Source organism: Homo sapiens, chromosome 5 (genome assembly GCF_000001405.40).
Source record: "Homo sapiens chromosome 5, GRCh38.p14 Primary Assembly".
Taxonomy (NCBI): domain Eukaryota; kingdom Metazoa; phylum Chordata; class Mammalia; order Primates; family Hominidae; genus Homo; species Homo sapiens.
Window position 1 is genome coordinate 144,427,344 of NC_000005.10, and position 13,870 is coordinate 144,441,213.

The following is a 13,870-nucleotide window of genomic DNA, read 5'->3' on the forward strand; positions in this document are numbered from 1 at the left end:
CTTTATTTTCTGGGCTCCTTTTCTACCTTCCAGTGACCTCGCTTTTTGGAGACTCAGGGTCATATACTCTTTAATTACTCTCCAGAACCCCTATTGTGTTACATTCTCTGAGGAGGGACCCAAACTCTCCTCAAATGGTTTCTCCTTATATTTTCTGATACATCCAAAATCTTGTGCCCTCTTGAATCTGATATCAGCTATTTCTTTTTAAAAAAATTGAAGAAGAGAAGATACATCTTGGATGACTGGTTCACAAATTTGTCTGCATCTTCAAGTCACCTATGGCATTTTAAGTAACACAGATTCCTGCTATCATCCCCAGAGATGATGATTTAATTGGTATGGAGTACAGCCTGGGTGCCTTCCAGGTGATTCGAAGAAACAGCCAAGATTGAGAATAACTGTCTTAGATTATACTCCTGCAGCTAAGATATAGCTCCAGTGGAAATAACATAGACTTTGAAATTACATAAATCTGGCTTCAGATTAGGATATTAAAAAAATGGAAAGGTTACTCCATTTCCTAGTTTGTGAATTGGATTAGGTTACCCAGTCTCAGTCTTGTATAGTTCATTTATCAGTAAAATTAAGGTAATAATAACTACCCCAGCAATAGGTTGTGATTATTGAAATAGCTTAGCACAGTATCTGTCACAGAGTAAGAACTCAAAGAATTTGACCTCTTTCCCTTCATAGCCCTTGACTTGTGGCCACAGAGAGGCTGTGCATGCTCCATTTATAGAGTCCTTCTCCCTTTGTTACACCCCATAGAAGGACAAAGACTTAGTTGGCAATATGCCTCAAAACTCTGTACACTAGGTACGCCTTCCTTAGTTTGAGTATGCATTGTTACATAGTCTAACTCAAGAACATTGGAAATAGATAAAATGGTGATAAGCCATTCTTTGCTGTTGCTTGTCTGTTAATCAGTGTCTTGAAAACAACTCTAGACACCAATATCCTGTTTGTCTCTCTGATGCTAGCACTTGTATAACAGCCAATTACAAGGCATTTGTCATTTTTTATACCATAACTTGGTAATTTGATTTAGACAGGGGAATTTTCTGCTGATAAATCTAGGTAGATTACCAAGTCAGAATACATTTATTAAAACACCAATTAGACCTTGCTTCCTCATCCATCACAAGACCTTTAATTCTTGTGTGGTTTTGTCAGGGTGTTGCAGGAACCATGTTTGCCTGAGTGAATGACTTAAATCAAATTGTCATTTTACAAGGATTACCTTATCTTTAAACTTCAAGGCAAGTCATTCTTTATGTACTCTGTGAATAATAAGCAATATTGTTTTCAAGCCCTACTACTACATCGTTGGGATATAGCAGGGGAAGTAAGTCCAGGAAGCTAAAGCCAAAAGGTGGTGTCCTCCAGAGGGAGGTACACTCCCAGGGTGCCTGTGAAGATGAAGAAACACACCAGTGACAGAGCACAGTGGAAAATTGAGTTGTCAACAGTCAAGGTTGGGAAGAAAATATTTGAGAGGGGCAGATGCTGTTCCTTAATAATTGTTTTGGGTGTTCTTAAGCTGAACACAATGTATTTATCTTCTTTTCTCCAACTTTTGTTTTTTAACATCAGTTGGCAAGAATAATATTTCTTACTTTCCTAAAATGTCTTTTCAAGATTGTGTGTTCTGCTGCTTCCTACCTGCTGATACCTTGCATGAACATATCTGTAGCAGGTGGCAGTAAAAAGAGCTACTCCCAAAGGAGAAAACAATAAAGAAGACAGGGGTTGGGCAGGCAAGAAGGTGAAATCTAAGGAAACGGTGATGAGAAAAGTGGAACAGATTGATTTTGAAGAAAAATCCCTCAGTAAATCTTTATCAAGCACTGATTTGGGACAAAGCATTATGAATGTATTTGTCAGTATTTTTCAGTTGGAAGTGTCAAAAATCCACCTTAGACAAGCTTAAGCAAAAGATTGGGAGGATACTGGCATGCCTTGCAGAATAAACAAGGCAGCTGAGTTCCCTATGGCTGCTTTTCCCTCTGTAAGTTGCATTAATTTTCTCTAGCTACAGGAAGTACTTCCCTGAGCAGCAGAGAACATGACCTCAGGTAGTTCAGGTAGTGAACTAACACCATTTTATTTGAGCGACCCAAGATATAGAATTTTCTCTGAGAGCTCAATTTAAGGTATCTTGGGAAGAACTCTGGACCAGGTTGGATCACATACCTCTCTTTAACCAATCATGCAGCATAGGGAAATGGTAGGCTATGATTGGCAAGGTCTGAGTCATACACCTATCCTTGGCTGGGGATGCAGTACCATGATTGACATTACCATGAGGGCCAAATGTTTAGAGTCAGAAAGAAGCTATTCCTTAAGAAAAGAAGCTATTACTAGAAAAGTTGGTATTATGAGTGAGGAGTGATATTGGGCAAACTCTCCCTGAGCAACAACTGAACTAAAATAAGGAATACAAAGGTGAACAAGGCAGACAGGAATATACAGTGCCGCCAAGGAAGTTACATCCTGTCAGGGAAGTCAGACATGTTCATAAATACCTTTAAATCTAAAGACCAAAGCAAAAGGTGAAAAAAAATTGAAAAGAAGGAAAGGAGGAGAAATAGAAAGGGAAAAGAAGAAAATGGGCTGAGCAGAGAGCAGATAGGCCTAGCTTTTTATAGGATAACAAATGTATGAGGCTACAAGTTGACTGGAATTATAGTCATGGGAAAAGAACAGGTGGTACAATATGAATGTGCAAGCTAGCTGAATCTATATGATATCTTCAGGGGCATCGTACCTGTGTAAGCCCTTGTGTGGTCATTGTTTTTTCTTAACAAAGCAAGTCAACAACAGAGACCTCATTTTCCCTTCCAACTTGGCAAGCATACTTATCTTGCACTAACCAATGAGTTTCATTTTATATTACACAGACAAAATCCATTATTTTTTAAAAATAAAAATATGAGAAATTTGAAATGGGAATTGCTGTCAAATCAAGATGGCAGAGAACAGGAGGATAGAATGATAAGGAAAGGAGTGGGGTAAGGTTCAGGTGGTGTGAGGGAAGATGAGTTCTCTGTGCTTGTGAGTTTGCCTGTGGCAGATGCATTTTAGTAGGAGCCAAAAGGGTTGGCTTCCGGGCCAGGCTCTGACACCAACTTGCTATGTGGCCTCAGGCAAGTCAATTCACCTCTCTGGACCTCAAGTTCCTCATTGCTAAAATGAGAGAGATTGAATTAAATTAGGGATGGCAAATTGTTTTGCCACATGTGCCAATTCTGATCAATTAGCAGTGAGAAGGGTTGTGTCTGGATTCAGTGGGAAAGACTTCAAGCAATAAGACAGGTAACATGTTAAGCCATCATCTGTCGTTAGTGCTTTAGTGGGAATTAGTTTGCCAGGATTTTTCCATGTGACAGATGATGCATTTTTGATCCCCCTGGGAAAGAGTGTGAGGATACTGATCCAGCCTCCCATCTCTCCAACCAAACAGAAGGTCTCTCAATTTTCACTGGCAACATCCCTGGAATGAGTTTTCTGCACATTGCTTTCCTAGTCTTTCATTTTATAGTGCTGTGCAGCTATTTTTTAAGGCATAAGCCTCCTTGAGAATCTAATAATAGCCACAGACCCTTATCCTAAATAACATAAATATTCCATATTTTGCATACAGTTTCAGGGATTCCATAGTCCTCCTGAAGACCAAACGTATAGCCCCAAGAAAGCTCTCCATGATCATGAATTCCAGATTAAGGACCCTTGAGATTAAATGCAATGGTACTTTCTCAGGATGCTAAAATACCACTAATTATGAATTGAGAAATTAGAAAAAAACTCATTGCATATTTAAATGAAGTTGCCTCTGTCAAAACTAACTAGCAGGTAATAGCCTACCTGCATATCCATTTAACATGTTTAGTCCATTCAGTAAAAGAAAATCAGGAATTGTTCTTCTTTTTTAAATAACTGATCGTATGTTTTACTTCAGTATGATAATAATTGTGTTACATAGTAACTTGAGCAAGATGAAGAGACTTGCTTTAGCTTCTTCACAAATACAATGAGGTACTTGAATGACCGACTTAAAGTCTATGTCAGCTGTAGTGCTTTTCATATTCTAGTGTGTAGTTAAATAATTTACCAGTGCACAGCTTACTAATGGAATCAAGTTTGGCTCTTTAACTCAGTTGATTTTAACAGATGAGTGGCCCTTAAGTCTTAGAGTGCACACAAATTGCCTGGAATGTGTTTAAATGCAGATTGCCAGGTCCACATCACAAAATTTTTGGTCCCTGAGTCTGTGAGAGGAGCCAAGAAATCTGCATTATTAAAGCCCTCTTCTAGTGATTCTGATGCAGGTGGTTCCAGCAGCATAGTTTAAGAAACATTACACTAGAGGGTTGGCAGTGGGAGACAAAGCTCGTATTTTACTTGTTTTTATTCCGACACAATACTATGTACAAAATAGATAATACATGCACTCAATAACTTGAATTATTTGTACGTTAGTGATTCATGGAAAAATTGCCTGGGCTTACAAACATTTTGAAGAGTATTGCATACCATAATATAAAAAGTAATGGAAAATGTTAACACCAAACCATGTGTCTTAGGAATCACAACTAAATTTCCTCTATGACATTTTTTCAATATGTAAATCATTTTAAGCACTCATTTTCTAATGCAATGAAAAGAGCTATGTGTACTCTATAATTCAATAAAAATGAAATAGATGATGTGGTACTTTCTTCTTTTTCCACTATTCTAATGCACCTTGCAAACAGATGCTGTTTGGCAATATATACATTTAGGTCTTCATGCCATTTCACTGGGGTTTGACTTACTCTGATTTTCATTTTATAATGAAACCAATATTATCTTTTTTCCTTTTTAATCTGAGTAGGATACTTTTCAAATTAATCACTAGAAGGAAAGTAAATGGGATTACTAGTGTTTAGCTCCTTTTATGTGGTAGGAACATTAATAAGTGCTTACAAACCTTGTGCCAAGTAAGCCTCACTACAACCCTTTAAGAAACAATTATTATACCCATTTTATAGATGAAGAAACAGATTCAGAGAAGTAAATTTCTCAAAGTCATCTAGCTAGTAGCCAGTAGAAGGGAAATTGTCTTTTGTAACATTTTTAGTAAACTTTTTCAAGCACACATATGTTATCAGGACTTGTTGAAATGATATCTTTGAAAAACACTTTATATATCAATGACCATAACATAGCAGTGGTACACCTGGGCAAGACTGAATGACTTATATTGGATCAGATTCATATTCCAGTGGCAAAGACAAAAACATAACACTAAATGTGTGTGTGTGTGTGTGTATATATCAGGGAAAAACAGAGTACTGATAAAACTATTCAGTTTACCCAAACAAATTGCTTTCCTCTGCTAATGTAATTTTATTATTTCTTCTGTGAATGCCAAATTTTCTTGAATTGCCCTAGACTTTCTTTTTTATTTACAGCTTTTTATGTTTGTTTTATGTACCAGCTACCTATATATGTCTATATGTATGCATACACACACACAACATATTTTAAATCTTTTAATAAACATATTTTTAATTTTTAATACACATATATTTAATCTTCACAGTTGACATAGGAGGTAGACATCATTGCCAAAATTATTTCCATTTTACTCATGGGATAATAGATTAGTGGAGAGATTAAATGATTTATTCAAGACCAAACAATATAAAGTGGCAGAACCACGTGTGTACCTAAGTCTGTGGGACTTTGAAAACCTGCTCTTCTATCTTCTTACCTGTCACAGTAGGCATCACAAACCGAAATACCTACAGAAGCCAGAATAGTAAGTGTAGGAGGTCAGGAGTAAGAAAAATGTAAATGAATTACTTGGCTTTTTTGGCCACCTTCTGTTTTCTAGCTTTGGATAGGGACCTGAGAACAGAGAACTCTTTCTCTGTTATTAGAAAATAACAGGTCAAGTGCAGCGATAAACTGCAACTGATGGTCATCCCTGGTGGCATGAGGCAATATGGACTGGCACAGACTGTACTGAATGGGACTTAGAGGCCCAGCCGTTACTCCCCTTAAGACAATTGCTACATGAATCCATGGTAGTGCAGAGACACCGGATTTTCTGATTTTTTCAAGAAAAACTGTAACTCTAGATTTTCATATAACATCTGATTTTTTTAAAATGACCAATTTTTTGAGATTTAGGCAAAATGCTTACCAAACAAAACATGTATGCAGGCAGGCCAAATGAAGTTTCTCAACCATTTGTTTTTGACCTCTGGCATTATCACCTATTTGAAGTTTAAACATAGAAAACCAGCATGTGATGTCACATTCACCTTCACTGGCTTCCCAAGTAGACTGTGATAAGGTCCTCCTACTTCAGCTTTATTATATCCCCTTGTTCCTTCTTACATGCCTGGTAGAGTTAATGTGTCTACGATAATGATGATGTTTGAAGTCCTTAAAGCCTTGTTTTTCTGCTCTAAATACTACATCATACTCTTTTGCTTGTGAAAAACAATGTGGTGGTATACATCTTTTGTTGTTGTTATAGTCACTGCCATCAGGGTTTTCTGATAATGCATTCTGTGAGGCAGCTGCCCCTGTGTATTATATTATCAGCCACTGATTATGCTGGCCCAGAAAGAACTCGAGAAGTGGTTCTTGCCACACACCAACTTCACCAGCAGACAGAGCCCTCAGCTCTACTAATCTGTGAAACTGTTTCCCACTTCCTAGCACACTGAAAGCTAATTGCTTTCTTCAATGAAACTAAAGGATCCACTGAGCCAGTCTGAGCTGGGAGATTACTCACCTGTTACAGTCAGCTTGTCTCTAGGGTTGTTAAATCTTTATTGTTCGGACATAATTAACCTTGAAGACTGAGCTGACCGTGTGGGAAGATTTACCTTTCTGGGTGGTTTTTGTCTCTCATTTTAGAATTGGAAGTCTACTCCCAAGCTAGGAAATGATTTACCTTTACTAGATATTAGAGGTAGTCACGTGCTTTTTAGTTGATGAATTAATAGCTAAATTAATTGTATTTCACAGAGGGACATAATAATATTCATAGACATCATAATATTCAGTATGAGGATCCTGAATGAGGGAGGGGTGTGTAACTCATGGGATACAACTGCTCATATAGATTACGGCAATCCTTTTAAAAGGCCAGAGGGAGGGAAAATTAGGCTCCATTGGTTCTGTGCTTCATCTCATTTATTAATAGTTACCATGTTTTTCCATCAGTTTTCAGGTAATGTTATACATTATACATTTTTGGTATGATACAAAGGAGTTGATTGTAACTGGACAAACCTAATGATGTTTTAAAACAATCATCCAAAGCCTACTCCTTCATTCTTGTTGAAGTGATTAGAATATTGGCCTAATCAGTATCTAAAATATGTCATAATACAGCTGGATCATAGAGGTGGTTATTATCACTGAATAGGTCATGTGAAACACTTTTCTTTCCTGTAGCGCAAATACAATTGTGACACTGTGGGAGACAACATTGTGGGAGCCAAGGAATCACTGGTCTTAATATGAATGCTTATTTCCTAATGATGAAGGCTGTTAGATGGTGGAAATATCTCTCTGCAGAAGCAAGAGGAGCTGAGTTCTTTCTGTCCCTTCAAAGTGGAAGAGGAAGGCGCATGAGGAAGGGAGCTAGAAGATGTGCTGTGAAGTTTAGAAGGGGAAGTGGCCAGAGGCAAATGTCAAGAACCCGTGGGTCCATGGTTTTTATTGGTTTCTTAAAAAAGTTTTTGTGATCCTTTTTAGCTTCATAAAAAATTACAGTTCATTCAAGAAAAATATAAAACAAAGTGGATTATATTTTAAAAGCCCTGATAGCCCCCTTACCCGCTCCATTTTATTGAATAGCTATGACCTTAGCTAGGGCGTTTTACCTGTCTGTAAATTGCTTCATTTGTTTATCTATAAATCAAAGATAACAGTAGTATCACCCGTAGATTTGTTGTGAGATCTGAATAAGTTGCTGATAGCAATGTCTTTCCAGATCACTGTATCTGTTGGTTTAAATCTATCTACTATATTATTCAGCCACTTGGTTTTCCCTACACCAGTTTATCATGAATATCACTTCATGTTTTTAAATATAGAACTACCTCATTCTTTTTCAAAGTATGTTTTATATTTCAAAATGTGAACATACTGTAAGTATCAGTCTCCTTTTAAGGAATATTGTGTTTATTGCCATTATTAGATATTACAAACAAAATTCTGCAATAAATATTCTTGCACATATACTATTCTATATTACCGGAAATGGGATTGCTAGGACAAAGGACCTATATATTTAAAATGTTGATAAATATTGCCAATTGTCTTTCAAAGAAGTTGGGGTTATTTACACCGCCTTGTAATAGTATCAGACAATTTCCTTCTCTTTGTGCTTTTGCCATCCTTGGTAGAGGTGATTTTGTTTTGTGGTGGTGGTTGTTTTTGTGTGCTTTGTGTGTGTGTGTGCGCTTTCCTGTGTGTGTGTGTGTGTGTATGTGTGTGTGTGTGTAGTTTTATTCTGATGCCATTCTCCAAGAATTCTGTAACTGTTATGTTGTCTCCTCTGTCCTACATTCAGTACTTCAGCATTTCTCTGCTATTTTACTGGCCTAGAGTCCATTCTCCAGCATTTTCTGGTACACTGCTTTCAGCCATCCCACACCAAAGGGGTAAAGAACAGTTGTGCTTGTAGGAGCATATTTATAGAGCCGCTCTTTCTAGTTCCCTGTGGGAACCACTTTAGTTTTAACTAGGTGACCTGTTGTGCAGATGTGACTACAAGGTGGAAGCTGTCCAAGTCTCAATTCTTTTCTTCCTCTCTGTTGGGCTAAAGCTAAATCCTGTGGGACTTAATAAATGTTTACACTTTGGGGCAGGCAGACCTGGCATAGTGGCAGATGGGATTGACTTCTAACTACTTATTATGATTAATATGATCTGGTGCCCTAAATACCTCTTTCATGGCTCTGTAACAGTGTTAAGCATGCTCCACTTAGGATTTAATTTTTAGGGACCCTGTAAAACACTGTTCACTTTATTTTAACCCTCTGACCTCATTTTGTAAGGCTATTGTTCATGGCTTAGAGGATTGGCCTCACGGAAAGAGAAAGGATTCTGGGTTCAGGAGACCTAGATTCTAGTCCAGAATAGCAGGTAGTTGGAGACTACCTACTAGGCCTGTGTCCACATTCCAGTTTTGCCAACTACTTCCTAGAAAATATTGGGGAAAGTGTTTAACTTCTTTTTTTTTTTTTTGAGACGGAGTATCGCTCTTGTCACCCAGGCTGGAGTACAGTGGTGCTATCTCGGCTCACTGCAACCCCTGCCTCCCAGATTCAAGCTATTCTTCTGCCTCACCCTCCTGAGTAGCTGGGATTACAGGAGCATGCCGCCACGCCCAGCTAATTTTTGTATTTTTAGTAGAGACGGCGTTTCACCATGTTGGTCAGGCTGGTCTCGAACTCCTGACCTCGTGATCCTCCCACCTCGGCCTCCCAAAGTGCCAGGATTATAGGTGTGAGCTACCAGGCCCGGCCGAAGCAAAAGTGTTTTACTTTTTAAGGATTAAGTTTCTTTTTGTGTAAAATGACTATAATAATATGTACTACTGGTATTAATCAACATTCTTGGCTGTTGATGATAAAAATGGACTCTGGAAGTTTTAAGCAAAAAGAATGTTACTGAAAGGACATCAGGACTTCACAGAAAACCAGGAAACTGTAGATTCGGTTTTGGAAGACAGGCAGGAATTCAGGTCCTCAACAGGCTAGGCCACAGGTATGATCTGACTCAGGTGTCCCGGCTGCTGTCCTCCATGATGAATAAATCCTCATGTATCTTTTGCATTTGCATCATCTCCCTCAGGTGTGAATTTCTGGGAGTAATCAACTCACCAAGCCTGAGTTAAGTACCCAAGCTGCCAGAGAACAGGGAGAAGGAGTAAATGTCCCATTGGGCCTCTACAATGGGAAACATGTTGCTGCCTTCAGCAAGACCACGGAGCAGCAGTAATGGATGGGTTAATAGTGTGGATTCAGGATCCAAAAGCCTAGTTTCAAATCCCAGTCCCATGTCTTAATTTATTTGTTCTTCATAGATAAATGAGGATTAAGATACTTACCTCATTAGGGTCACTCTGAGGATTGAATGAGTCAATATTTGTCAAGTTCTCAAAATAGCATCTGACATATAATATACTCACTAGATATTATCTATTAATATTATTGATTTCCCCAGATAGGAAAGAGTTAATACTGGATAGCCAAACACAAACACAAAACCTAACAAACAAACCAATATCAACATGTACAGGTAGTAACTATTCAATATCCAGCCGTTGTTTTTCCTATTTTTTTATGAATTCCAGCTCTGAAACTAACTTACTTTCATTAGTATAGATCATTATTATTTTCTTTACCTATAAAATGAGAGGGTTGACCACACGACTTTTAATGTACCTGTCAATTCTGGGATGCTAGCAATAGGACTCAAGAGAAGGCAGACTTTGCTGGGAAAAGGTAGGGAATGGCGTAGATCTTTGCTGCTCATTACAATATCCGCATGTGGCTATTGGACACTTCAAATGTGGCTATTCTAAATTGAGATGTTTTAAGTTTAAACTGTCCAGTAGATTTCAAAGACTTAGAAATGTACTTTACATTACAAAAGAGATGTAAAGTAATAATTTTTAAAATATTGATTACGTGTGAAATGATTTTATGTATATTAAATACAATATATTAGTAAAATTAATTTTATGCACTTATTTTTACTTTTTTAAATGCGGCTACTAGAAAACTTAAAATTAGATGTGTGGTTCACATTATATTTCTATTAGCCAGCACTAGAGCATTTGTATGAGTAAGTCTGGAAACAGTACAATGTTCCTTGATCCTGCGTTAGTCAAGATATTTTCATTTTTAATTGACAGAAATCTTATTCAATCTGCTTTTAAAGGAAAAATTGGAATATAATGACTCACACATAGCTGAAAAGCACAGGAATAGACTGTCTTCAGGCCTGCCTGTATCCAGAAACTAAATCAATGTCATTAACACTCTGTATGAGCATACGTGTTGACTCTGTGCATCTGTCTCCGCTCTGTTTTCTGCTGTGTGGGTATCACTCCTAGACAAGTTCCTATTTCATAGTAGCCACAGTAATAAACCTAGAGCTTTGAGAGGAGGCGGGCTCATCCACTCAATTCTAATAAGCCTAGCTTGGGTCATGTTCTCATACCTGCATCAATCACTGTGGTTGATGCAGGATGCTCTGTATCTTTTGAAAACATAGGCTGGGTCACTGGCCTCTCCAGCTCTCCTTAGAGCACAGGTGGAGACAGCCACTTGAAGCCTATGGACTGAGAATGGGTTGCTAAGGAAAGTATGTTTTCTGTTACCAGACCAAGGACAGAAAGTATGTTTTCTGTTACCAGGCCACTGGACAGGGAAAATCAATAGTCAAAGCTTGTCAGGGGTGAGAGAAAGGATGTACTTATCCTGTGTTTTTTGACTCATGTTGATCTAAGCCAAAAAGCCTGTAAGTCACCATCTTCTACCTCTTCCTCACTCTCCTTATTCGGTTAGACACCAAATTCTATTAATTTGCCTCTTTGGAAGATTCATATATATTCCTAACTTCCTCTGTGTCTTGCACATGTTCCTTCCTCGTTCTAATTTCATCTGTTTTTTTTTTCTTTTTTTCTGGTTCTAATCTTATCTTACTGAAATTCAAAATCTCTTCCCCACATTACTTCCAGAGTAATTATTTATTTAATTCATTAAAAAATATTTGGTGCTGCTGGGAGTTGCTTGGATGTTGGCGGTGTGGGGCTGAAAGCTTGCAGACACAGCGATCATATCGCATAAATAAATTTACTATTTGGAGAAATACAATGATGAGGGGTTTGAGTATTGGCATGTCATGTTGCCCAAGGACATAGCCAAGCTGGTCCCTAAAACCCACTTGAATTGAATGGAGGAATCTTGGAGTTCAGCAGAGTATGAATCTGAATGGAGGAATCTTGGCATTCAGCAGAGTCAGGGATGAGTCCATTATATGAACCATGAACCAGAGCCTCACATCTTACTATTCCAGTGCCCGCTACCCAAGAAGCCAGATGGTAAATGAAGTTGGCAAGTCACCTTCCAGCCTCGAGCTTTACACAGCTGTCCTTGCTTCCTAACATCTTTCTGATAACACTATTATTTTGCCTTCTTGTTTCTCACTTTGATATTTAAAAGATGTTCAACACGCTTTTTGAATGTGCTGGTAACAGTTTTGCTTCTTCAGTAGAGCCACCACCACCACAGCCCAGAGAGATGAGTGCTCTGTGGGCCACAGCCTCAGCTGAGTGTGACCCCAGAAGCCATGGTGTGCTCTGTATCCAGAACACACTTGGTAGCTGGAAGAAGCGTCTGAGATTAAGATCATGGCTGTTACAGGTATCGTGTAAACTTGCTGTTTTTGTTTTTTTCCTGCCGGGTGTTGTATGTATGGTGACTTGTGGATTTATGATTCAATATATTGGAAACTTTCCATATTATTCAAGAAGTCTGTTCATGTTAAAATCCTTGATTAAAGAGAAAGTTTTCATAATCTAAAAAAAAAAAAACATATTTAAAAAAGCCCACTAACAACAGACACAGAAAATGTCACAGAGCAAAATGCATTACTTAATGAATTATTCTAAGGCAAACATCTTGTAACCTAACCATGACCAGGTCAGAAAATAGAACTCGGTTAGACATTCTGGAAGCCCCTTCTGTGCACCACATTTCAAACACAACCCCTTTGTCCACCACACCGACTTTTATACTAAACATTTCCTTGACAGTTTTATACTTATCCCTCATCATTTTGTCTTAAAATGTATCTGTTGAAAACACAGGCTGTTTGAACTATGGAGTTTCTCACAGTTTGGATGTGGCTGATTGCAAATGCATGATACAATTCACTATGCGCCATCGTCCTTTGTATTTTCTGCAGAAAATAGAAGTGGAATTGCTGTGTCATATGGTAACTCTTATGTTTTACTTTTTGATGAACTGAAAAACTGTTTTCCAAATTGCCAGCACCACTTCACATTTCACCTCCAATGCCTAAGAGTTCCAATTTCTTCACATCCTCATTAGTACTTATTATTATATGACTTTTTGATAGCCTAGCCATTCTAGTAGGTGTGAAGTAATATTTCACTGTGGCATGGTTCAGCAACTCACACCGGTAATCCCAGCACTTTGGGAGGCCAAGGCAGGAGGATTCCTTGAGGTCAGGAGTTCAAGACCAGCTTGGGCGATATAATGAGGCCCTATCTCTACTGAAAAAAAAAAAATCTGACTGTGGTTTTGATTTGCATTTCTCTAATGATGAATAATGTTGAGTTTTTTTATTTTATTTTATTATTATTATACTTTAAGTTCTAGGGTACATGTGCACAACATGCAGGTTTGTTACATACGTATACATGTGCCATTTGGTGTGCTGCACCCATTAACTCATCATTTAGCATTAGGTATATCTCCTAATGATCTGTCCCCCCTCCCCCCACCCCACAACAGTCCCCGGTGTGTGATGTTCCCCTTCCTGTGTCCATGTGTTCTCATTGTTCAGTTACCACCTGTGAGTGAGAACATGCGGTGTTTGGTTTTTTGTCCTTGCGATAGTTTGCTGAGAATGAATGTTGAGTATTTTTTGATGTGTTTATTGACTATCTGTAGATCTTTGGATCTATTCGGATCCTTTGTTCATTTTTCATTGGGTTATCTATGTTTTTTTATTGAGTTGTGAGTTCTTTATATATTCTGGATACAAATCCCTTATCAGATGTATGATGTGTGAATATTTCCTCCAATTCCATGGGTTT

At 38.1% G+C, this 13,870-nt stretch overlaps 1 protein-coding gene and 1 pseudogene across 4 annotated transcripts in view; both read left to right on the forward strand.

Moving 5' to 3' along the window:
- The window catches only part of KCTD16 (potassium channel tetramerization domain containing 16), a 314,814-nt gene that overhangs the window by 256,471 nt on the left and 44,473 nt on the right, over positions 1-13,870 (forward strand). The window lies entirely within an intron of this gene.
- On the forward strand, positions 11,800-12,607 carry CKS1BP5 (CDC28 protein kinase regulatory subunit 1B pseudogene 5; annotated as a pseudogene).